The sequence below is a fragment of the Homo sapiens genome, chromosome 8 (assembly GCF_000001405.40).
Source record: "Homo sapiens chromosome 8, GRCh38.p14 Primary Assembly".
NCBI lineage: Eukaryota > Metazoa > Chordata > Mammalia > Primates > Hominidae > Homo > Homo sapiens.
Genome location: NC_000008.11, coordinates 62899408 through 62927080, shown reverse-complemented (window position 1 = coordinate 62927080; position 27673 = coordinate 62899408). Strand labels below are relative to the sequence as shown.

The window sequence follows — 27673 nt, the reverse complement described above, 5'->3', positions numbered from 1 at the left end:
GACAGACAGGAAAGTTAAATTCATGCCAGTTGGAGTCAAGGGTGATTTCTATTTTCTTTTTCTGGTTGATGTGACTTTGTTTATAAGCTGAAGGGAAAAGACCTAGTGGAGGAAGAAGCTGGGCAGAGGGAGTAAAGTTGGGGGAGGGGACAGAGAGAAAAAATAATTAAGAGAGCAAGGTGCTTAAATAGGTGGGTGGGATGGACATAGCAGCCACAAAAGCCACGGGACAAAATGAAGTCTGCTTTTTCTGTCAGGAAGATGATGATCACAGATGGATACAGACAGATCTGACAGATAGAGAGCCTGGGAACTTGAGGAAATCATTCCCACTGCTTTTATTTTTTTGTGTGACAGAGTCTCAGTGATGGAGTCTTAATGCTAAGGGTGCAGGGCAGAGGAGGAAAAAGCCGCCGGCGGTCACATTGCCTCTTTGGGCCTCAATTATTCATCCCCAAAATGAGGATAGAAACTCTAAGTTCTCTAAAATGAGGCTAGGGTGATCTGCGGCACTGACAGCTCAAATAATTCACTTTTAGGGGCCTTGGAGAAAGCAGTGATGAAGAATGAGTGGGAGGCCCCTGGAGCGGGTTGGGCGGCTCACATGTGACGTTGTGAGGTTGCATCAGGCTATGTGCTCCTCTCTGCACCACTAAGCAGCTTAGGGACAGACGTGCAGAAGTGGAGGTTCAGTAAACCCACAGGGGGGCTGGCAGAGCCAGCTTTGTGAGACCGTTGAGAAGGGGGGTTGTTGGGATTAGAATACTGAATTTAGATTTAAAATGGAAACACAGAGGCCCTGGCAAGATGCTGTCAACTGCTCTTCTGCTGGGCTCTTAAATTTTACCACTAATAACCAGGATAAAACTATTGCACAAGATCCTCATGAAATCCTTACAGTCCATTTTTTTCTTTGCTGTGCATCCAGGGTGTCACGAGGGTGTGATTTTTAAATTTGGTACTCTGCTCCCTCATTATCACATCTGCATCCCAAATCCCACATTTTCCACTCGGCACCACCTGAATGGCAGATTCTTCATTCTTCCTTCTCAAGTAAAGTGCTTGAGAAGTGCTGCACAGCCTGGCACTGTTGGTAATGGTGAGAACTGGAGAGCTCTGACCTGTCTAAAGCAGGGAGTAGGGAGATGTGATTCCTCCTTCTGAGCGGGCAGGCATTCGTGTAGAGGGCCTGTTTTAGTGCTGAGGCTGATACATCAGACTTTGTTACTGTAACTCTGGAGCATAGAGGTCAGGGTGTTTTGAAACCACTCCTGATGTTGACCATTTGTAAATCAGTGAAGAAGGAAATGTGACGTGCCTGATCACACGTTGAAATCACCCCCACCCAAAAGCATCATCTATAGAACTGCAGTGTCAGAGCTGTCAGTGACTTGCGGATCCCCAAAGAGGTGATGTGATTCAGCAATGGTCACAGAGCTAGATATTGGCAGTTAGGACCACCATCACTGAAATCATTTCTAACATCTGGTTTCAAGTAGAAACACAGAAAATTAGAACCCCCTCTGGGGTGCAGGAGTTGTCTGCTTGCTGGTCTCAAGTTTTTGGCAAAACAAGCTACACCTTCTCTCCAGAAAATTTCCAGATAATGTAAGTGCATAATATAGGGCCATGCTTTTGCTCTGGAAAATTGATAAAAGATATAAGTGCACAAATACCTTATTATGAATTAATCATTTTTTTTCCTGTGGTACAGGGAATGGGAAGTTTAAATTTTCTTAGGGAGTGAGGAAAGAGATATGAGAGATAACGTAAAGACAAGCATTTTCTCCACTATGTATTTTGTATAACAAATATGCACTGATTTCCTATGATGTTCCATACACTGAAGCAGGTTCTGAGATTCTACGGTAGGTAAGATATGATCTCCACCTTTTATGAGTGGGGGATGCAATTAATTAAAAAGTAAGTTGAGTGCAGATTCAGAGACACACTCAGGGTCTACTGCGGCATGGAGAAGAGGGTGTTTGTGAGAAGAATGTTAAAGAACATGTAGGAGTTTTTAGTTATTTGAAAGGAGATGCTATGGTCTGAATGTTTATTACCCTCCCACCCCCACCAATTCATATGTTGAAACCTAATCCCCAGCGTGATGGTGTTAGTAGGTGAAGTCTTTGGGAAGTGATTAGGTCACTCATGGATGGGTTAGTGCCCTTATAAAAGAGACCTCAGAGAGCTGCCTTGCTTGCTTGCCCATGTGGGAACACAGGAAGAAGACAGTCATTTATGAAGAGAGAAGTGGGCCCTCACCAGACACCAAGTCTGCTGGTACCTTGATCTTAAACTTTTCACAACAGAACTCTGTGAAATAACTTCCTGTTATTATAAGCTACCCAGTCTATGGTATTCTGATATAGCAGCCCAGAAGAACTAAGACAGGAGGTGAAGATGTTTCATTTGATGATTAACTGGGTGTGGACAATCAGGGAAGAGTCAGGGAATACAAGGAATATGCCCAAGCTTTTCAGCTGATGTGAAGAGCTGTCATTTATATAAATGGAGATAGAGAGGAGAAAAGGAAGAACCTTCTCCCCGATCTCTGCCATTGGAAACCCTAATCATCTTACTGAGTCCATTTGTTCATACATTGACTCATTCATTTAATATTTATTCATTGAAAATAGTGTAGGGTTCCCTTTATGTTAGGAAATGGGGTCAGCCTTGGTGAATAATATGACTTTAAAAAATTACAGTTGTGTTAAATGTTGCCAAGGAAAAAGCACAGTGTGCAGTGAAAGCATCTCACAATATATCATCCGTATCTTCAACTAACCCGGAAAGGGTGGGAGAAAAATGGTTAAATTTCAGAAGAGACAGCTAAGCTGAAATCTGAAGGGTGTATATAAGTTAGTGGGTCAACAGAGGGAGGAGGCCTCTCTCAAAGGCCTGGGTATGAAAGCTCTTGGTGGATTCAGGAAAACAGATGTGGCTGGAGGTTGGGGAGGGAGGAGAGTAGGATATATCGCTGTAGATGATTCTTAGTCAGGCTGAATTATAATCAGGAATCCTGGCTTAAGGAGATAGGCAATCTTTTAGGCTCTACTTCACTGTGAGTTTAGTGGTAACCTTGGATCTGGTTCTGGTAAAGGGGCTTCTCTATCTTTCCCCTGTAGGGAATCTCCAGTTGGTTTGCTGGTTTGGGCATTTGAATGCTTATGATATTCTTGAGAGAGAGTCTGTCTCAGTAACCTATTTAAGGGATGGAATCTTGTCACTCAACCAGAGCACTGTAGCTGGGATCCTGTTCTGTGCTGCCTGAACTTCCTCTGTGTGGGGTGGCCGAGGTTACAACCCTGCTGGTCCCCACTCTTTGACAGTAACTCTGTCCCCTTCACCACATGTTGCAGATGAGTCGACTCCTAAATGCCTGCCTTACTCTGTGAGTGCATCCCTTTCAAGTAAGTCCCTGTTTTCTCAGCAGTGTCTTGTCCAGGAGTTTACAAAATTAAGCTCTTGTTCTGACGTGGTACAGTGGATGTTTACTTTATCTCCCTATACCTTGATTTTCAAAATTACTAAAAATATATCTAATTGCATTAAAAATGTAGGACCTCCACTTGCCTCACATAAACATTTGCAAGTGCATCGGACATCTCACTAAATTCTAAATATAAAGCAGTATCAAACTTGAGAACCTTGGAGTTTTAAAAATGACTTTGTAAAACTGAGTTGTTGGGCCCAGAAAATTTATTTAACACTATAAACTCAACAAATATTTCTTTTTCTTATTTTTTTTTTGAGACAGCGTCTCCCTCTGTCAGCCAGGCTGGAGTGCAGTGGCAGGATCTCAGCTCACTGAAACCTGGAACCTCCATCCCACCAACTCCCACTTCCGATCCCAAGCTCAAGTGATACTCCCACCTGAGCCTCCCGAGTAGCTGGGACCACAGGCACACACCACCACACCCGGCTATGTTTTTGTATTTTTGGTAGAGATGAGGTCTCACCGTGTTGCCCAGGCTGCCCTTGAATTGCTGAGCTCAAGTGATTTGCCTGCTTCAGCCTTGCAAAGTGCTGAGATTATAGGGTTGAGCCACCACACCCAGCCAACAAATATTTCTTTATTGAATTCTACATACAAGGCATTTTTCTGAACTATAGGGTTACAGTGGGGAGCAAAACAAAGATTCTACCTTCATAGATCTTGCTAGTGGGAGGATTAGCTAGTCATTGTGTAGCTATTTGGCAGAGCCATCTCAGCAAATTAGGAAAATGTTTCAGGATCTAAATCTGAGCTCTAGTGAGACTGAAGGAGAGAGAATCAGCCTTTAGGACAGTTACATGCAACCAACTAGATAGTTACCAAAAAAAAAAAAATATATGCACTGTGAGAATCAGTAGATTCTTAATGGCTTATTAGGCAAATGTGGTGGCTCCTTTGAAATGTTCACTGTGACTTCAGGATCACCCTTACCAATTTTGCACATTTTTCCATGTTTGACTCACAGCACTGTCCTCTGCTCTCACCTTCAAATGTTCATACATTGCTAGGGGTGCAAAACAATGGACTGGTTTTCTACTCTGAAGATCTTCCAGGCCTCTGCTTATTCCCTCCCCTGGTGTCTGGCCTTGTGGTCACCTTACTTCTCTGAGGCTTCCATACATTATAAGTTGGAAAAGGAAATTCATAAATTAACATTCAAACTAGTCTTTTTTTTTCCTACCACATTCGCTTCTTTCATAAATTCTTAGGTGGAGATAGGATTTTAAAAAGTTTTCAGCTCACACCAATGCTATGGAAATATCACCTCATTTTCTTAGAAGGAGTTCATGGGCAGACAGGTAAATACATGAACATTAGCCAGCAGGAAGCTTCAGGACAGTAGAGCGATGAAATGTTTTTCCGATAGTTACGCTTCCTTCCAATAAAAAGTTCCTCAAAAGTATAATAGCAAGGGTCAAATGTTTATATAAAGAACTATTTAGAGCTTTTTAATGTAAAATATTGAACCCACATCTGAGGGATTCATTTCCTTTCAAAAACTGTTAGGGTTTTCAATATACTTTTGTCTCTCATCATTCAACATATACAACCCAGACTAGCCTTTGTGAGCCCAAATAAATGTGCCAGTTGCAATTTGCAGCCTAATATCAGAAGAAGTAGTGCTAGCAACAGACCCTCTGAAAAAGCCTGGCAGTATTGATACAAGTAAAATGCTATTTTTCACCTTATCTCCACACTTCTCTGAATTAAAAACATTATTTCTGGAAAGTCTAACAAGTAGTAACAAATCCTCAAGTTCATTTTCAGCAAATGATTCCCAAACAAGGTGTTGACAGATTTCTATCATTATGATTCCAGAGATTCTAGTCTCATGAAAGTGTTCATGGAGATTGATATATATTTATGTATATATATTTAAAAGCAATGAAAAATGGAAGGAAGAGATATAACTAAGCTTTTTCATTAGAATGAATGACGAGAAGCTCTGACCCCACCTAGCACTCTGCCTTTTGTGAGCTTTTTATTTCATTGTCTTTGACCTGCAATCATAATCTTTATAAGAAATAGTTAATAAAAGAGGCTGAGAGGTAACTAAGAAGACGGGTGGCTAGAAATAAGTGTTTCCTCAAGTATTTATTACCCTTCGGAAATATCTGTCTGAAATGTTAGTCCCATATATCCACTTTAACAGTGCAGAGGAGAGAAGTGGTAGCTGTTATTAATTTTTAAGGCTGGCTGGCAGTTTTCAGCCCAAGAACAAGGCTTAACTTTGCATTTTGAATAATGCAGAAATTTTCATTAGTTAGAATAGAATCAAAGTTATGAATGATGTATTGCCTGCCAAAAAACTGACATTATATTATATTTGCAGATCTCTTTTAGAATAAGATTTCCAGAAGTGTACTTAGACAAATTGGAAAGATACCAGTATTGTTTACTTATTTTATGTGTAAGTTTTGGAAAAATAATTCAAAGGACATGTCTTCCTCACTGAGGGTTGGTAATGTCATATCCAAGGGGCAGTTCATTTTTGCACCTAAAAGCTAAGTGTTGGCACAAATAGTACTAGTGTATGAGATCATTGCAATTGGCTTCAGACATTACTTTTTGCTCACATCTGCCTTCTGAAGACCCTGGGACAACTTAATTACATCTGCACTTTTGTTTCCTACCTCATTCAATAAAAAATATAAAATTACCCTCATTTGAGAACTATCAAATATTTGTGACTGCTTTCCATTATCATCTCTCTTCCAGCAGATTATCATGTTAAGTTAGTCTTTGGCATATATACTTTGCTTTGAGCACCCAAGTTTCGTTTTGACTCTGAGTCAATTTGAATTGATGACAATACAAGTACTATATCCAGATGTCTCTTGGTAATGTAATGTATGGCCCTAATAACAAATGCTAGAATTAAACCACTAATAGAATAGTCTCCTAGCAGCTGCTTCAATCCCAGTTTGAAGGGCACTGAAATAGCTGATTCAGAGATTTCTATAGAGAAACTTAAGTTAATTAAAGACATCAAAGTCAATGGAACGACGATATCTGGCAGTGAACAATACAATTTATATACACTGAAAAGAAGGCTAATAGAAAGTTAACAGAAGTATCCATTTAGATGAGTCTTTTATTTTACATGCCATTTTGCATTTCCCAGCTTTGCTTAAACCACAAGTCTCAAGGAAAAGACTGTTGTATATTTATTGCACTACATAATAAGACTATTGATTAATCTGCCTTTTCTCCCACTGTTAGGTACAACTGAGCACTGGTGTCTTTTGAGAGTCTTTGACCAGTTTAGTGAGGAGGAAAAGAAAGAGGACTGTTTGTTTTGGATGTTGTTGTTGTTTGATAACTACTCAAAAGTAGGTATCTACTTTGTAAGAGATTCAGCTAGGACTTATCAATTTATTAATTTTTTGACTTATTCAGCTCAAATTCCAATAACTTTCAGGTTGAAATTCCAGTTAATATTGTTCATGCTCAACCAACTGTTTTTTGGCTGTGCAGCCTGTCTTAGCTCTGGGTTGGAAGCATGCTGCTAACCTTCTGTATATTAACTCCATCAGGTTGTAGAACTACTAATAAAACTCCTAAAAATAGAGATTTGAAGTTAACCTCAAAATGAAAAGTGTTGTCATTAGAACTGCACTTGTCAAGTGACAGAAATTTTTTGACTTATCTAGCATTAAAAAAAAAAAAAAACTCTGTGTAAGCATTAAATACATGATGCAATTTGTCTGCATGCTTTCACTGCCTGATACTTTTAATCTCAGGGTCTGAGGTTTGGTCAAATAAATTGAGACAAGACCCCATCAGATTCTGGATTCCAACTCATATATCATGCACCACTCATCTGTTTGATGGGAAGCGTTCATCAGACCCCTTTGAGGTTGTGTTCTGGAAGGAAGTTACAATGGCTAGCTACTTTGCTTCATTTTGTTACAAATTCAAACAATGACTGCAATGCAATCTCTGGTTTGGTTAGGTGTGATTTCTTTATCTAAAATAATTTATTTTTTGAAAGTAAATTAAAATTTTGAAAGTAAATTAAAATTTTGAAAGTAGGCTGGGCATGGTGGCTGACGCCTGTAATCCCAGCACTTTGGGAGGCCGAGGCGGGTGGATCACGAGGTCAGGAGATCGAGACCATCCTGGCTAACACGGTGAAACCCCTTCTCTACTAAAAATACAAAAAAATTAGCCGGACATGGTGGCGGGTGCCTGTAGTTCCAGCCACTCAGGAGGCTGAGGCAGGAGAATGGTGTGAACCTGGGAGGCGGAGCTTGCAGTGAGCTGAGATCACGCCACTGCACTCCAGCCTGGGCGACAGAGGGAGACTCCGTCTCAAAAAAAAAAAAAAAAAAAAAAAAAAAAAAAAAAATTTTGAAAGTAAATAAAAAAAAGTGAGTCCCTAACAGAGTTGTGCCAAGAAGTGTCTTATACATCAGCAGGTACTCAATGAAAGTCATTTGTTGACCTATGGTGCTAAAGCTCTATCATATAACTTCAGGTCATAATATTAATAAATGTTTTTCCTTTGGGTGTTCTGTTAAAACATGATTTAGCTTTTAAGCATCCCATTAACTTTTTTTTAGCACCTCGTAAATTTTTTTTTTTTTGCATCTCATCTGGAAGGTTGTAAATTTTAGTTTTTTTCATTGCATTTTATATGGTTTATATACATATAGATCTTTCTGTAATGTATTATTGTATTGATATCATTACTGTTACTCAGACTTCAAAATTCTGCCACCAACATGCCTAAAATTGGTAATAGGTAAAACAACCGCTGACTGTCTACTCGGCATAATGGTTAGGTGTCTGATGAAAAGTTGCTAATATATGATATGACAGCAGTCCTTGTCCTTCTAAGTCTCTGCACGTGCTCTCACAAATTGAGTGTTTCTATATGTAGTGTCACCTTATTTGTGTGCAATTCAGTCTGTCAACTTTTGACTGTAACTTTAGTGTGCTGAGTTCAATCATTTTAGACTCCAAATATAAAAGATTTCATTTCATAGCCCTGTAATGATTAGTTTTGGAAGCTGTATCTCATTCAAAAGGAACCCACAGGGAGAGAGAAAACAGTACTTACATGTGTCTTCTTCTTCCATGGAAATACTGATCACATAACAGGCATACACAAAACCCACCAACTGCAAAAGGGAAAAAATGTGTACCTTAAGAATCTATGCCAAGTTTCCATACTTAAAGAGCCAATATAATCTAATAAAGATAAATATTTATGAGCAACTTTTAAGAGTTTGCAGTGGAAAAACTCTTTTAAAATGATAGCTGTGATTTTAAAAGAGCCTTTTCATTTCTATGCAGCCTTAATAGCTTTCTAAAAAGTACACAGAAATGGGGGAAGAAACCAGTTTCTAGATATTTCACTTAGATTTTGATTTGGGACTTACAGTTCCTGTATTTTATAATCAGCAAAGATTATTAAGAAATCCATTTTAAAGTTTTGATTTTTTTCTGATGATTGAGCATTTTGTACTAGCACTAATTAACTATAACTATTTTAAAGTTTAAAAGCTACAGAAGGAATCAAAACATGTTGCTTATAAATTAAATACCAATCATCTACTTAATTATTTAAAATGCTCTGGGAATGTAAATCATATTTGGATACTAAATTGCTTTGTTAATCAAACCACAAGAAAACACGTTAACTTGCTGGTGATTCAGTAGTGATAAAATAAAACAGAAGAGATGATTTGTACTTTGGATACTAGTAATTCAGAGAATAAATGCAGGAGTAGAATTTAACCTCTGCATTTATGATGCTAAGAGGACGATTTTTATTCCATGGAGCCAAAGACACTGCAGTTCCTAGAGGACAAAATTGTCTATGAATCTAGTCCAGTCTAAAAATACTTACTATAAGCACTTCAATAGGTATGAAAAATAGATACTTGATAGCTGCTATAGTTTATCTTCTTGTCTTTGTTAACGTTTGTTTCTACCCTTTAACCCCATTATAAAATAATACCGGGAAAAGAAACTTTTTCTGATAGTCCTGGTGTCAAAGGCTAAAGTTTCCAATGCAGAGAACAAGATATCTGGGGCTTTTGACTGCCCATGTGAATTAGGACCCTGAGCTTGTCATCCATCTCTGGACTGTCTGGACAAAGGCCAAGAAGCCCTGAGAGGGTGAGAGGTTAGGGAAAAGTTTAGGGTGAGGTCTTAGGAGAAGGACTTACAGAGAAATCTGCCAGGGTGCTGATGGTTCCTCCCACCCAGCGGGCACCTCCTCTCACCTCAAGCCAGGTGAGGGGGTGCTGCGAAAGCACTTGGGGAGCTTAACATTTCTTACATTTTGGGAAGCATGGGGCTTGGCACCCAACTCACACTTGGAAGAGTCAGAAGGCAAGAGGCTGTGTCTAGAGGGGCTTTTGGTTACAGTGTGTGGAGACAGGACTGGGTGGAATTGGCAGGGCAGGATGTGTGTGTGTGCCCTTAGCCTGGGGGTAAGGCCTCTGGAGAGATCTTCCTGTGCTGTTCTGGAGTTGGAGCCATCCCAGAGGACTTCCTGGTAGGGCAGGTGACCTCAGAAGAAGGATGGTGGTACTTTGGCTATAGAAGCCAAGTAGGGGTGCAAAGTGGCAAACCAGGGAGGCTGATCATCCGAGAAACAGGTAGGGATCCTAAAGGGGGGTGGGGTGGGATTCTGAAGAACCCCTAAAAGCACCCCACAAGAAGAAGCATGAGCGTGTGGGAGCTGTCACACTCAGAGAGTATCCCTGCCAGATTACAATGGAACCCGTCATGCTAACACCTTGTTTCCTCCTTTTCTCCCATCATTTCTCCTTCTACTTCATCCCCACGATAACGCAGAGGAACAGTGAGAGAAGTGGGGTGAGAAGAGGAGGAAGCAGTGTTGTGTTCCTTCCTCTCTGCAAATCTGCAAGTTGAAATCAGGCCCAAGCTGAGCGGGAGAGTTTTTAAGTGGATGAGAATTTGCAGTAACCTGGACTAGATATTTAATATCTCTGAGGAGCTAAAAGAGCTATAAATTCTGCTTGAAATATGATCCAAAGGGTGAGACTGAACAAAGCCGTAATGTGTACTTGAAGGGACAGTGAGAGAACAAACAAAATTGCCTTTCAACTGTATTCTACCAACCCATTCAGTAAACCAGTTACATACACAAGAAAGAAATGGTCCCTAATCCCATCACTAATAACTTTACAATAGATTTCTCTCCAATCTTTCTCTCTTGCAGTTGCTATATATCACTTATACTCTTATGACCCAAGTTAATACTCTTCATAAGCTTAATTATTAATGACTACATAAATTTGTATTATTTAAATATACTGCTATGTATTAATGTTCTATTATTGAAAGTTGTTTTCAAGTTATAAATAATATTGTGAAAAATATTAATGCTTTTCCTGAATTTTTGATGATCTGATTCCCAGAGGTAAAATTATTATTTCAGAAGTGCCATTGAATATTTTTATGACTATTTTTTACACATTATTGGTTTTTGGAAAGTTTGTATCATCTATCCTATCACAGCAGTGACTGACAATGCCTGCTTTTCCATACCATAGGAGAGTTCCACTTAAAGATACATGCCAAGAAAATAAACAAAATGGCATCTCTTCATTTATTTATTTTTGCAATAGTTCTTTTTCATCTGATGTATTTTCATATTTTATTAGCCATTTATGTTTTTTATTTTGTGAATTACCTCAGAGGTTTTTTGCTCATTTATTAACTTGATCTTGCTTTCATTAATTTATATGAGGTCTTATGGGGGAAAAAGCCTTTGCTGTATTTGTTGCAAATTTTTGTTTCTTTATGTTGGCCTGTGATAGTGATGGTTTCATAACGTCGGGACATTTTCTTACTAAACCATATGTTAGAAGGCTTTTGCCAGCAAACAACTTTCTAGTTCTTGGTGGGTTCTCCCTTAGGGGTGTGTGTGTATATGTGTATACCTGCAAGCATGCATACATGTAAATCAAGAACTCTCTTGCATTAGTTTTCGGTTGCTGCTGTAAGAGATTGCTGCAAACTTAGTGACTTAAAACAACACAAATCTTACAGTTCTGAAGGCCAGGTGTCTGAAATGGGCCTTACGAGGCTAAAATCAAGGTGTCAGCAGGGCTGTACTCCTGGAAGATCTGGCAAACTCTGTTTCCTTGCCTTTTTCAGCTACTAGAGGATGCCTGTGTTCCTTAGCTACTGATTCTGTCTCAGGCTGCCATCTCCCTGGTCCTTCCTCCCCTGCCTTCCTGTCCTACTGTTAAGGATGCTGGACACACCTGGACAACTTAGGACAATTCCTCCATGTTAAGGTCACATGATTATCAATCAATTTTATCTGCAACCTTTATTCATTCTCGTTTGCCATGTGCAATGATTTATTCACAGGTTCCAGAGATGAGGACGTGGAAATCTTTAGGGAACTGTTATTCTGCCTATCACATCTGTGAACTCATATTTAGACTCGCAGCAGGTTCTGCACAATTTAGGCCACAGTGGAGATGGAGAAATGACACTGAGAAAATTGCTTAAGTCTTACACAGGAACAGAAAACCAAACATCTCATGTTCTCACTCATAAGTGGGAGTTGAACAATGGGAACACATGGAGACAGGGAGGGCAACATCACACACCAGGGCCTGTGGGGGGGCAAGGAGAGGGAGAGCATTAGGACAAATACCTAATGCATGTGGGGCTTAAAACCTAAATGACAGGTTGATGGGTGCAGCAAGCCACCATGGCACATGCATACCTATGTAAGAAACCTGCATGTTCTGCACATGTATCCCAGTACTTAAAGTATAATAGCAAAAAAAAAAAAAAAAAAAGATTACAGTAACTGCTCAAAAAACTTAAAAAAAGAAAATTACTTAAGTTTTAATGTATGAAGTATGATTATGACATCCTAATTTTAAAAAATGATGAGAGGAATATTTGACAAGTCACAGTTCATAGCAATCCATTCTTGTCAGCAAATGCCATCTTTTGATATTGGGGAGAAAACTACGATCATCAATCTGGTGTTTGTACATCTAGTCCATGTTTTATCCTACCTACAAATATATATCCTAAAAGCAGAACATAATTATTTTATTTATTTATTTAACTTTTATTTTAGGTTTGGGGGTACATGTGAAGGCTTGTTACATAGGCAAACATGTGCCAGGGGTTTGTTGTACAGATTATTTCATCACGCAGGTATTAAGTCCAGTACCCAATAGTTATCTTTTCTGCTCCTCTTCTTCCTCCCATCCTCTACCCTCAAGTAGGCCCCAGTGTCTATTGTTTCTTTCTTTGTGTTCATAAGTTCTTATCATTTAGCTCTCATTTATAAGTGAGAACATGTGATATTTGGTTTCCTGTTCCTGCATTAGTTTGCTAAGGAAAATAGCCTCCAGCTCCATCCATTTTCCCACAAAAGATACGATTTCGTTATTTTTTATGGTTGCATAGTATTCCATGGAGTATATGTACCACAATTTCTTTATCCAGTCTATCATTGATGGGTATTTGGGTTGATTCCGTGTTTTTACTATTGAGAATAGTGCAGCAATAAACATAGGCGTGCATGTCTCTTTATAATAGAGTGATTTATATTCCTTTGGGTATATACCCAGTAACAGGATTGCTGGGTTTCATGGTAGTTCTGCTTTTTGCTCTTTGAGGAATTGCCACGCCGATTTTCACGACGGTTGACCTAATTTACTCTCCCACCAAAAGTGTATAAACAGATCGTAATTATTTTAAATAGCACATTTCAAACAGTTTTCTTGACAATTTCAAATTCTGGGGGTATTGTCTTTTCACTTTGATTAGATCATTGTTGTTTTTATTTTGCATTGTACTTGACAGGGAGCTTGTACTAAGAGGAGGACACCTGTCAACTCTGCTATTAAAATAATTCATTTGTGTCCATAATTAGTTTTATCTTTAATGCATGGATTCTTCCAAGATAACGTCTTTGCCACTTGAAATTTTGTGAACATTAGTTTTCTTAAAAACAGATAATATAATCTGTAAATCTACTAAATCCTGCACAGAGATTGTAATTCATCTCAATACACCCAACACGATCGTCACTGCTAACTGCATTATAGTATGGAGTTTTGCTCCACACAGGTTGCTGCTAGCATAGTCACGCATCGCATAACAGCATTTCCGTCAGTGATGAACCACATAAATAATGGTGGTCTTATGAAATTATAATGGGGCTGAAAATTCCTATTGACATTGTAGCTGTTGTGACATCAGAGCACATGCAACACTCACATATTTGTGCTAATGCTGTTGTAAACAAACCTACTGTGCTGCCAATCATATAAAAGTATAGCAAACACAAATACATATAGTATATAATACTTGATATTGATAGTAAACAATGATGCTACTGGTTTATGTATTTATACTATACTTCTTACTGTAGAGTGTAGTCCTTCTATCTAAAAAAAAAAAATGTTCAATGCAAAACAGCCTCAGGCAGTTCCTTCAGAAGGTGTTTCAGAAGGCATTGTTATCATAGGAGATCATAGGAGATGACAGCTCCATGCCTGTTATTGCCCCTGAAACACCTTCCCGTGAAAGAGGATGTGGATGGAGAAGACAGTGATATTGATGATACTGATCCCAGTGACACTGATGATTAGGCTGAGGCTAATGTGTGTGTTTGGATCTCAGTTTTTTCTTTCCTTTTTTTTTTGAGACAGAGTTTTGCTCTTGTTGCCCAGGCTGGAGTGCAATAGTGCAATCTCAGCTCACCAAAACCTCTGCCTCCTGGGTTCAGGGGATTCTCCTGCCTCAGCCTCCCGAGTCGCTGGGATTACAGGCATGCACCACCATGCCTGGCGAATTGTGTATTTTTAGTAGAGATGGGGTTTCTCTATGTTGGTCAGGCTGATCTTGAACTCCCGACCTCAGGTGATCCGTCCTCCTCAGCCTCCCAAAGTGTTGGGATTAGAGGCGTGAGCCACTGCACCCAGCTGGATCTTAGTTTTTAACAAAGAAGTTTAAAAAGTTAAAAAAAATTAATAGAAAAGGGCTTATAAATAAGGATGTAAAGAAAAAATATTTTTGTACAGCTGCAGAAGGTCGATGTGTTTGTGTTACAAGCTAAGTGATATTTTAAGAGTCAAAAGGTTCTTTAAAAGGTTTATAAAGTAAAAATGTTACAGTAAGCTAAAATGAATTTATTATTGAAGAAAGTAAATTTAAAAATTAAATGTAGTATAGCCTAAGTGTACAGTGTTTATAGTCTACAGCAGTGTGGAGTAACATCCTAGGCCTTCACATTCACCCATCGCTCCCTCACCAACTTACCGAGAGCAACTTCCAGTCCTGCAAGCTCCATTTATGGTAAGTGCTTATCAATATACAGGCTTATTAACTTTTATGTGTTATACCATATTTTTACTGTACTTCTTCTATATTTAGATATATTTAGATACATAAATACTTACCATTGTGTTACAATTGCCTATAGTATTCAGTACAGTAACAGTGCTATAGAGGTTTGTAGCCTAGGTGTGTAGTCAGCTACACCACCTAGTTCTGTGTAAGTAAACTCTATGATGTTCACACAATGATGAAATCGCCTAAGGCCGCATTTCTCAGAATGTATCCCTGTAGTTAAGTGACATATGACCTTCTGGCATGTGGGCCTAGTGAGGCTACCAGTGTTAAACTATAAGTCAGATATTGTTACAAGCTAATGTTCCTTAGGTTTTTAGATAAAAAATAAATAGAAAAAGAAGCTGCAACTTCCCATGCTTCCACGGATTATCCTGTGTACACCTTTTGATACATGCATTTTCTGTTGTTACTTTGTATACCTCTTTGAATTCATTACTTTGGAGAACTTACTTCAAAGATGATCCTTTAGCTTGAAAAATAGTTCAGTAAGTTTGGGCAACATGAGTTCTAGTGTCATAAACATGGATAAACCAGATTTCTTTTGAAACCTAAAGAGCTAGACCAAGCAGCAGCCAGGCAGATCAAGAGTCTCTTCCTATAAACTGTGACTAAAATGACTGACACTCTGGATTTTCTTTCAGTGTCACTGCAAGGAAGGAGAAGGATAGTAACAGAATGGAGGAATCAGGCTGCAATGGAAAATTTCCGAACGAGGAGTTCTGTTGTTTTGCCTATAGACAGAAATTTAGATGATGCATTGCGAATTCTATCTTGGAAGTTGCTTATTGGATCGTAAGCCCATAGTTGCTTGATAGTTTTTGTATTCCAATGATTATTCCTCCACAACAAACTCAGGTAAGTTAAATCCCACAAATCATTATTTTTTCATGCATATAGGTGAGAGGTAAGCAAAGATATATCAAAATGTTTTGATTGAGTACTATGGGACTTTTCCAGTGTAAAGCTAAAGTCTTCATGATAGCTTAATGCCACAACGAATATTATTTTCTAATGTTCTAATACATTGCCTCCCTCTTTTTTGGAAAAAATATAATACTTCTACCCACACCTTTATATTGACTTAAAGCGAATTATTATTTTGTCTTTTTTGATGTTTTTCAATATGAGAATGATGCCTAAAGTATACGTTAACATATTGTTAGCCTCTTTGACAGGAAATACGTATTTTGGTGTTTTCTAATATTGGCTCATTCAATTTGTCATGCTGGAGTCCATCAGCATTTATTGGTTGGTCCATCAGCATTTACTGGTTCATCCATTGGCATTTACTGGAAGAAAGGCCTGAGGATTGATGAGAACGTCTCTTGAGAACAAACTCAGTCATGCTGATACATTGTTTTCACATATCAATATGTAGAGTTAATTTGATGGAGTTGAGCCTGGAAATCCAACAGGAGACCAATTTCCCTTGAAAAAAAAAAAAATCCTGTCCCGATGGAAGAATCTTGACCTGAAACTAAGTGTATACCACCCTCTACTAAATTATCTTTCCACTGTTGTAAGAGGACTGGAAAGTATTAACTGTTAGTAGTTGAACCATATATTATTTTGTTATACATATTCATATATTTAAGGATAAAAATCTAAATACCCTCTAAGAAATCTGTATAATATAAAATAAAATTGTACTTGTTGCAGGAAATTTTTATGTGATTTTAATGCACACTTTCTTCTAGGCTAAAAATGAAGATGTTGACCAGATGACTAACATTGAAAAATAAATGCAAGCTTTTTAGTCTTCATTTTATCCTTCAAGTAAATACAGTTGAAATTCAAAGAGAGGTTTGGGAGTAGGATGAGACATGAAGCAAGCTATGTATGTGAAGATGGTTATAGATGAACTTTTATGAAGGCAAAAGAGAGTAAGCTCTTTGGATAATTTTTTCAGAAATATGTGTTTACTTAAGTTCTATGTAACTTATATTTCTTTCTTATAATTTTAAGACCATGGATTATTATAAAAATATTGGTTTAACTGCATTTTCTGAAAAGATTCATTGTCTATGTGCTAAAGAGAACTGGTCAATTTATTTATTTTTCCTTTTCCAAATAACAAGTCTTTTGATGGACAGAAAGTAAGGTTAGTTTCTTAACATGGAAGCATGTTATGTCTCCCTATCCAGTGAATATTTTCTTACTGATAAATGTAGGAATGCACAGTTTTAAAAGAACAGAACAATGTATAGCAAGAAAAAATTTGTCAGATCTAACTATTCACTAATGGACCTTAATATTGTCTTGATAGATGACATGAAAGAATTTTTGGCCAGGCAATGGAGATAGACAGTACCATTAGCTGAAAACAATAAGACAATGACATGCCATACTAGAAATATTAAATCATTCTTCAAGTCCTCAAACAGAATTTGCCAACCATAATCTCTATATTATTATAAATGAATTAATTAAAACATTTCCTTTTACTTTTGCCTTATTGATGGGCATACTCATGAAATATTTACTCCAAAAATTACTTTTGCTATTGTGATTAACCAAACTGCTGCTTAATTAATAATGTTGCCCTCATGAGAAACTGTCTAGACATCATGTTGATCATCAATTTGTAGATGGCTGACTGTTGTGTAGTTCTTGATTTCCCAGAATTTGAATTTAAATAGTCTCTGTGGCTTTCTGCTTGTCTACAAGAAATGGAAAATGCATTCTTGCCAATAACAAACACAGGCAAAGTAAATAACATCAGCACAACAGTCTTGATTATCTCTGCTTTTAATAAAATTTGGAAAGAGTCATTCATTTTAAAGACAACTTTTGTCTTTCACTAAAGGTATCCATTTCTGTAGTTATATAATTTAAAATGACTTTCTTCTCTATATTGTAAATTCTGATAGCATACATTCCATCTTCTTTGATATATTTAATTAATGCAAATGACATAAAGCTACATTCTAACTCCACTTTTTGTTAAGAGATTGATTAGTTTTTGCAAATAGGATTTGTATGTGGGATTGGTTTGTTTTGACCTGCAGGCCTTGTATAAGAATTGACTAGATTAGGTTTCACACCTGTAGGTACTAGGAGGATAACCATTTGCTGTGTGTCCTGCTAGTTGTGAATCTTATTAAGAATGAATTAAAAAATTGAGTCATCCCTGAAATCATGTGTCTTTAGTGACCACTGTTATGTGAAATAGAGGGATTAAAAAAGGTCCTCCAGGGAACTCAGAGAAGAGAGGCATTCAATGAGAGGATTGCTGGGCTTGAAGAAAGGCAGAAGAATCCTTGAACAACATAACTCCCCAGTCACTCTCCTAAGTTTCCCCACATTCACACCAACATTGAAGCCTTAAAGCTTAAAAGAATCCTTAAGGAATGATAGATGTTTCTCTATTTTATATATGGTATATTAGTCTGTTCTCATGCTTCTAATAAAGACATACCTAAGACTGGGTAATTTATAAAGGAAAGAGGTTTAATGGACTCACAGCTCCATGGCTGAGGAGGCCTCACAATCATGGCAGAAGGCAAAGGTGGGGAAAAGTCATGTCTTACATGGTGGGAGGCAAGAGAGTGTGTGCAGGGGAACTCCCCTTTATAAAACCATCAGATATTGTGAGACTTATTCACTATCATGAGAACAGCATGGGAAAAACCCACAGCCAAGATTCAACTACCTCCCACTGGGTCCCTCCCATGACGTGGGAATTATAGGAGCTATAATTCAAGATGAGATTTGGGTGGGGACACAGCCAAACCATAACATTCCACTCCTGGCCCCTACCAAATCTCATGTCCTCACATTTCAAAATGAATCATGCCTTCCCAACTGTCCCCCAAAGTCTTAACACATTTCAGCATTAACTCAAAAATCCAGAGTCCAAAGTCTCATCTGAGATAAAGCAAGTCCCTTCCACCTATGAGCCTGTAAAATCAAAAGCATGTTAATTACTTCCAAGATACAATGGGGGTACAGGCATTGGGTAAATACACCTATTGCAAATGGGAGAAACTGGCCAAACAAAGGAGCTACAGGCCCCTTGGAAGTCCAAAATCCAGCAGGGCAGTAAGCGCCAAAATGATCTCCTTTGACTCCATGTCTCACATCCGGGTCACACTGATGCAAGGGAGGGGGTTCCCATGGTCTTGAGCAGCTACACAGCTGTGGCTTTGCAGGGTATCACCCCCATCCTGGCTGCTTTCATAGACTGGCAATGAGTGTCTGTGGCTTTTCCAGGTCCATGGTACAAGCTGTCAGTGGATCTACCATTCTGGGGTCTGAAGGACAGTGGCCCTCATCTCACAGCTCCACTAGGCATTGCCCCAGTGGTGACTCTGTGTGGGGATTCCCACTGCACATTTCCCTTGTGCACTGCACTAGCAGAGATTCTCCTTGAGGGCTGTGCTCCTGCAGCACACCTCTGCCTGGACATCCAGGTATTTCCATACATCCTCTGAAATCTAGGTGGAGGTTCTCAAACCTCAGTTCTTAATTTCTGTGCCTCTGCAAGCCCAATACCACGTGTATGCTGCCAAGGCTAGGGGCTTGCACCCTCTGAAACAACAGCCTGAGCTGTACATTGGCCCCTTTTAGCCACAACTGGGATGCAGGGCACCAAGTCTCCGGACTGTACAAAGCAGCAAGGTCCTGGGCCCAGCCCATGAAACCATTTTTTCCTCCTAGGCCTACCAGCTTGTTATGGGGGGCGCTGCCATGAAGACCTCTGAAATGCCCTGGAGATATTTTCCCCATTGTTCCAGCAATTAACATTTGGCTTCTATACAAATTTCTGCAGCCAGCTTGAATTTCTCCTCAGAAAATGGGTTTTGCTTTTGAATTGCATCATCAGCCTGCACATTTTCTGAACTTTAATGCTCTGCTTCCCTTTTAAACATAAGTTCCAATTCCAAACCATATCTTTATTAATACATAAATACATTAATATATTAATACTTAGCAGCACCAAATCACCTCTTAAATGCTTTGTTGCTTAGAAATTTCTTCCGTCTGATACCCTAAATTATCTCTCTCAAGTTCAAAGATCTACAGATCTCTAGGGCAGGGGCAAAATGCCACCTGCTAAACATAGCAAGAGTCACCTTTATTTTACTTTCCAACAAGTTCCTCATCTCTATCTGAGACTACTCAACCAGGACTTCATTGTCCATATCACTATCAGCATTTTGAACAAAGTTATTCAATAAGTCTCTAGGGAGTTCCAAACTTTTTCACACCTTCCTGTCTTCTGAGCCCTTCGAACTGTTCCACTCTCTGCCTGTTACCTAGTTTCAAAGTTGATTATACATCTTTGGGTATCTTTACAGCAATACTCCACTCCTGGCACCAATTTACTGTATTAGTCTGTTCTCACACTGCTAATAAAGACATACAACCCAATACTGGGCAATTTATAAAGGAAAGAGGTTTAATTGACTCACAGTTGCACATGGCTGGGGAGGCCTCACAATAATGGCAGAAGGCAAATGATGAGTAAAATCATGTCTTACATGGTGGCATGCAAGAAATCATGTGCAGGGAAACTCCCCTTTATAAAACCAGCAGATCTCATGAGACTTATTCACTATCACAAGAACAGCATGGAAAAGTCCCACTCCCATGATTCAGTTGTCTCCCATCAGGTCCCTCCCATGACATGTGAGAATTATTGGAGCTACAATTCAAGATGAGATTTGGGTGGGGACACAGCCAAACCATATCACACAGGTTCTACAATACTGCTTGTTAGTTATTTTATCCTCAAGTTCAAAATGACTCTCTGAAATCCTTCACCAAGTCTGCCTATGGGAGGCAGACAGAGACTGACACACTGCTCTGTGCAGAGCTTTATTCTAATGAAAGTCATTAAGTTGAACATTTGTGAATAGAAAGCTTCTATATGTAACGTATTTCAGTTAAGGTATTAAGTAACTTCTAAGAGAAAGCATAGCTACTTAATGTCAGAAACTTTGCAGGGATTTTACCCTACTTATAAATTAACAAATTAGTCTATTACTGTTCCATGGGTGCTGGGTCAGAAACAGAGGACTTTTATTCACAGTGCAGAGGGCAACACAAGTTTCATATCTCTTTTCTCCATTTATCATGCCTCTTGGGCCTTGATGGATGCTCGCACACTTGTGGGTTGTGTTACTGGAAGGAAATTCTGTGCTGTTTTCACAGTAAGGTGAAGCCAGCCTACTTTCTGTGGGGGTGAGATGGGGAAGAAGTTACCTCATGCACGAAGGTTGCTTGATGAAAGCACAACGCTGAGAAATTCTCAGGTAAAGAGCAATGACACATGTAGAGGTTAATAGAATATCTGTAGATGGTATTTAAAGCCATGTGACTAAGGAAGTGAGTGAAGTCAGAGAAGGGGTCCATGGATGAAGTTCTGGAGCATCACAACATTCAGCAATTGGAGAGAAGACTAGAAACCAGCAAAAGAGACCAAAAAGGACTGACCAGAGAAGTATGAGGGGTACAGAAATTGAGGCTATTGGCTGTGTTAAAGGTCTCTGATTGGTTAAGAACAATGAGTGAGCGTTGAACACTGGACTGGACCAGTGGAAGACATCAGTGGTCTTAATTATGGTCATTTTGGTGGAGAGAAGGGCAAAAATCCGATCAGAGCAGGTTCAAGAGAAAATAGAATATTAACAGTTCTTTCAAGGAGTTTTACTGAAAGAGGAGGAGAAAAAGGATAGTCGCTGGAGAAAAATATGAAATCAGTGAGGTTTCTTTATTTTCTTAAAGGTGAGTTTTATAGCAATTATAGCATGTTTGAATTTTGATGGCAATACACATCTTCTTAAATCTTTATTCACAATTTGAGGTAGGTACTCAGTAACAAAGATTGTTTCACTGGTGCAAATGCATATGCACTTGCTATCCACTTCCAGTCCCTTTATGATCCTGCTTCAGCCTGGCTCCAAGGCTTATCTTCCACTCTCCTCTGCCATGCATCTGTACTCCAACTCCCTGAGTACACCCCATTCTTTGCTTTCCCATGACCCCCTCACCCTGTTCTCACATCTCTGCATGCACAAACCCTCTCATTCTTTAAGCCCAGTTGTAAATGTCACTTTCTTTGATTTTTTTAGTTGATCCATCTCTAGTCTGAACAGTCTCTGCACTTTGTTCTTATATCTGTAATGGCAGCTTCAAGGTACTGCTTTGTATCACAGCATTGTGTCCATTCGTTATCTTCTAAGTAGGTCCTGGAAGGCAGGAACTACCCTCCGAGAGACCTGATGCAAAGATCGTGTCCTCTGAGAGTCCTGCCCCAGCTCCATCAGGGAGAGAATCTGCTTCTTCCTCTACTTTGACACATCATCATACTCCTTGAATAAGGCACATTTCGCATGGTGATTATACTTATTTACATGTTTGTCTCTACTATGAAGCTCTTTCAGGATGAGAGCTTTTTCTCAATTCAACTTTGCATTTCTAACACTTAGCACTGCCTGCTAAGAAGAATGTTTCATCAAATGCTTCTGAATGAATAAATGAGAAGAATTGCATTGCAAAGTGAGGTAAGGGAGGAAAACCAGGGTGTCTGAAATACAGTGGATGAATTTCAGAACTCCAGCATGGTAGCAATTCTGAAGTTCCCTTGTGGGTCACCATGTTGCTCAGCCACTGTAAACTCCAGCTCTGCTTGTGTGCATCAGAGTTATTGCCATGATTCAATAAGTTCTCCAGATTTTTGCTGCCTTGCTTTGATATTGTGTGGATCATGCACTAAAGATGAGAACAAGCCAATGATTATATAATACCATCTTCAACAGATGGATGAAGTATAAACATGTGGAAAGAAAAAGGATAGTAGAGTCTTTTCATTTATGGGTTAACTTTGGTTGATTTTACATGAAACCAAACACTTGAAAGATATCAAAAATGCTATGGATATTTCAGAATGCATACTGCTTCCTTCACTGGGGAGAGAGAAATAATATGATAGGATAAGACTTTTCCAGTCACCCTGTTGAACTGATACAGCAGTTTTCATCAGGCAGGCAGTGTTCCAACCCTCATAGCAAGCCTGAATTCAGCATACCCTCTTGTCCTAAGTCAGGATGATAAACAACGGAATGTCCAGATACATAACATGTGGCTACTAATTTGGGAAACTTTCAAGTCCATCTTCTAAGGGGTTGAGGGCTCAGCTTTGTCCAAGGGTTCACCCTCAGTGGATTGGACAGCAATATGGTTTGGCTCTGTTTCCCCACCCAAATCTCACCTTGAATTGTAATAATCCCCATGTGTCAAAGGTGGGACCAGGTAGAGATAATTGAATCATGGGGGTGGTTTCCCCCATGCCATTCTCATGATAGTGAGTGAGTTCCCGTGAGATCTTGTGGTTTTATCAGGGACTTCCCCCTTCTCTTGGCACTCATTCTCTCTCCCGCCACCCTGTGAAAAGGTGCCTTCTGCCATGATTGTAAGTTTCCTGAGTCTGCCCCAACCATGATGAACTGTGAGTCAATTAAACCACTTTCCTTTATAAATTACCCAGTCTTGGGTATTTCTTCATAGCAGCGTGAGAACAGATTAATACAGGCAGCATATTTATCCTTCCTTATTCTAGAGGGCTTATCAAGAAACTCTGAGACTGAAGAAGAGGCAGCAGGTGGACAGTTTCATCTCCCCATGCTTTGTGGCCACATTTCTTTTTCTATGGCTCCCGAGAGGGCCTTTTAGTGCAACTGTCACCCAGGCCTATCTGTGCTATCTTGTGCGCCCAGCAGAACAGAAGTCTAGGCTCTTAGGATCCTCAGGGGAAGAAGTCTTAGGAGAGACGGTCCTCTTATTTATTTGGATCACTCTGGGGAGAGTGTGACTCCCAGTAATACCTAATCTGTTTGTTTTTAATCAAGCTGCTCCTACTGTTCCTTCAGGAATCCAGAATTAGAGCTGCATCTTCTATGGAAGTGTCTTATGCCAAGTGAAGCCTGAAATTATGTGAAGAAATTTGGTTCACTCTTCTAAGAGTCCCACTGGCACCCTGGACTCCAAATGAATCAATGAATATGGAAATAAGTTGTTTTCTCCACGATGACCATAAAAATGCACAACAGAAACAGCATCACATTTATTCAAGCTCTGGGGATTTACTGCCCTTATGTGTATGGGAAGCACTTGTGGAGACAGTTTCAAAATGAAAAACAAATGATTCGCTGGCCTCTACCAAGAAAGATAAGACTTTCAGTGACATACTTCTGTGATGCAGACACTCTGCACACACCAGCTCAGCAATATCATGGAGGACATCGATGTTACCCTGACTCACAAAGAACCTTGTTCTAAGATAATGCATTTCTGGTAGCAAGTCATTAAGGAATAAGAACATTGCCTAAGATTTTTTTGTAAAGGGGCCTATTTAAGTAGATCATTTCATGTAGGACTTTTCTAAGTGTACATTGCCAAATTCAATAATTCTTCAATGGTATTATGTGGCTAGTTTGATAGGATCATTATATCTGAGTGTTATGAGGTCATTTGAAGAAAAATACTTCTATCAAGGAAAAGTTCCATCTAATATTTACCCGTTTACAATCCAAAATGTAAACTAAAAGAGAATTCATAAATGTGTCACATGACTACGAGTATATTTTGAGGATAGAGAGTGGTTTTTGTCTTGTCAGAATGTGACAGGCAAGGTCTTGGGTTGGGTTGAGTATACATGTCTTTGTGGCTATGGGGACTTATAAATTATCTAGGTTACACTGAGCTCTGCCTCCTCCATGCCTGATCATTTAAATGCAGTCAGACCCAAGAAACTGGAGTAAAAGTTGGGCTTGGGCAGGAGCTCTTGGCCTGTATCTATTCAGGCTGACCTCAGACTTGCTTATTCAACCTCTGTCCCACATTCCCATCTTGAGCTATTGACTTCAACCTCTAGCTACTTAAAACCCTTGTTCTTACCACTCATTTTGAATCTGGTTTCTGGCTTACTAGAGCATTTGGACTCTTTTTGTGCCCCTTTCATTTTGGGGCACCCTCAGTATTTCAGGAAGCATATTTGTGCCAATGGATCCTCAAATACAGATTTCCACAGAACCACATAACCCAGCAGTAGGTGTTCATCTCCAGGTTGTATGCATTGAGAGCTGAGGTCCCCAGAGCAGCCACTGGGAGGCAGTGGATGGCAGAGCAGCTGTGCTCTGATCCCCATGCTTAGGCAGTCAGGCACCACCCTCTGGGCATACAGACTGACATGTCCACCCCCTGCCTGTCTGCTTCTCACTGAGCAGCTGACTTAGCCAATAAGGAGCCATTGAGGGTATGTTTTTACAAATGGCAATGTCTGGAGCTCTTTCTGTTGCAGGTGCTGCTCCTGCCATCCAGTGAGTCATGGTAAACTCAGTAGACTGTTCAGCCCCTCGATGCAGATAAAGCCACATGTAGAAATATGGAGTTTATAGTTCTCAGGAGAATGTAAGAGAAAGACAGGCATTCCTCTATCCATATGTGTCTGTGGAAGTTGAGAGGGGATGTTTCGTAGTAGGGAATCCTGCTTTTCTGTAATTGAATGGTGTTTCATGGCCTTCCTAACTTGCGGGACGTACGTAAAAGTCCTACCTAGTGAAATGTGGCAGATGCTGTGATATGTATGGCTGAATCAGCAGATGGAGTGCATGACACCTAATTCCACTGCCTTGCACAAGAGTCAAAATTAGGCTGATGATGCTGTAGGCCCAGCTCTGAGAAGGCCCCAGGGTGTTATGTGTGAGAAACTGGCCACAGTATCAGCTTTCTCACTCTCTCTCTCTTCTTTTTTCTTAAGATAGAGTGTTTTGCTGTGTTTTCCAGGCTAACCTTGAACTCCTGGACTCAAGTGACCCTCCTGCCTCAGCTTCCCATGTGGGAAGTAGCTCATATTGGAGGCCCACACCACTGCTCCCAGTTCAGTACCATCTTTTGTTACTGATAGACCTTTGAGTGAAGCCCATTGTGTAACCAAGGATCTGCTCATCCTCCGTCATTGCTGCAACAGATCACAGACCATCCACTCCATGATCAAGGGTGGGAGAGGATCTCATGTCATTGACTACTGGGCCTCCCCTATGGTCTTGGCAAAATGGACACTGAGTATCACCACTTTTCCTGTATTGTGCTCCTACATCCTCCTTGGATCTGAGATTTTGTGTCTTTTCTCTCCTGACCGCTGGAAATAATTCACCTCTATTCTCAGGACCATTACTGTTCTTGGGTGGCAGGGATTCAAGGGGTTCCATCTGACAGTTGGGGGATCAACATGAGGCCACTCTTGCCAACAGCGTTGCTCTGATATACCCAGGTCTCAGGATGGGTTTCAGCCTTGTTCCTGGGTTCCAACACTCACCTCACAGTTGATGGTTATGGTGGTCAAGAGTCCATCTTTGTGGTCAGAGAGATCTCAGTTTAACTTTTACCTTTGCCACTACTATTAGAGTGAGCCTTGGGTAAGGTATTTAACCTCACTGAGCCTCAGTTTGTAATCTGTCAAATAGATATAATCATACTACTTCACCAATTATTGTGAAGATTATCAAGATAATGGATATCTAGTGCTTAGCACAGGGTTTAGTTGGATACTATTTTGAACACTGTATGTTCATTAATTCACTAAGTCCTTCTATCTCCAAGTGCTAAGTTGTATTGTTGATTTTATTCTATGTATGAGAAAATTGAGGCACAGAGTTTAATTAACATGTCCCCAAACCACTTAGGTAGGGACACTCTGGCTTTGGAGCCCATGATGTTAACCTCTCTGCTTACTGCTGATCAATATGCAGTTCTCCTTTCACAATCCAAAGCTGCATTTACTTAGCAAAGTAGTGGCAAGGTCTTTTATACTGTAATCCCCAGGATGATGGTGTAATTCTTCAGAGTAATCCTTTCTTAGAATTAAGTGCTATCCACCTCCACACGTTGCTCACTATATGCTATGTACTTTTTAAATGGTGGCTTAAGCTTTTAAAAGCATTTTTCTGCAGCACAAGAATACAAGATATGAGTCAAAAGAACAACATAGCTCCAGGATGCTTGTGTCTAATAATCTAGAGTTCTTAGACTTTACGTTTGGCCTTATTGTAACTTTTTCAATTCAGTGAGCAACAACCATCAATTTTTCATAATAATATGTTCAAATCAATAGAAATCAGAACTTTTTTTCATGAATGGTACCCATTTTCTTTATTTCTTTTTTTTTTAATTTCAGTAGCTTTAGGGGTATAAGTGGTTTTGGTTACATGGATGAATCGCATAATAGTGAAGTCTGAAATTTTAGTGTACCTGTCACCTGAGTAGTGTACATTGTACCCAATATGTAATTTTAAAAATTATTTTATATCTCTTTGTGGGTATATTGAAGGTGTATGTATTTGTGGGGTACATGAGATGTTTTGATACAGGCATGGAATGCATAATAATCCCATCATGTAAAATGGGGTATCCATCCCTTCAAGCATTTTATCCTTTGTGTTACAAACAATCCAAATTATACTGTTTTAGTTATTTAAAATGTACAATTAAGTTATTATAGACTATAGTCACCCTGTTATGCTATCAAATACTAGGTCTTATTCATTCTTTGTAACTTCTTTTTTTATACCTATTAACCATCCCCAGCTCCTCTAACCCCTCCCGCTACCCTTCCCAGCCTCTGGTAACCATCCTTCTACTGTCTATCTCCATGAGTTTGATTTTTAGATCCCACATATAGGTGAGAACATATGATGTTTGTCTTTCTGTGCCTGGCTTATTTCACTTAGAATAATGTCCTCCAGTTCCATCCATGTTGTTGCAAATGACAAGATCTCAGGATCTCATTCT

The 27673-nt window shown here is 39.4% G+C and overlaps 1 protein-coding gene across 4 annotated transcripts in view; it reads right to left on the bottom strand.

The window, feature by feature from the left end:
• Positions 1 to 27673, bottom strand: part of NKAIN3 (sodium/potassium transporting ATPase interacting 3) — a 750799-nt gene that overhangs the window by 72572 nt on the left and 650554 nt on the right. For all 4 annotated transcript variants that reach the window (NR_130764.2, XM_017013359.2, NM_001304533.3 and 1 more), the window contains exon 5: positions 8568 to 8628. Coding sequence is in view for 3 of the 4 variants with exons in the window: in XM_017013359.2 (XP_016868848.1) it covers positions 8568 to 8628 (61 nt within the window). In the remaining variant the exon portion in view is untranslated. The remainder of the gene's footprint in view (positions 1 to 8567; positions 8629 to 27673) is intronic.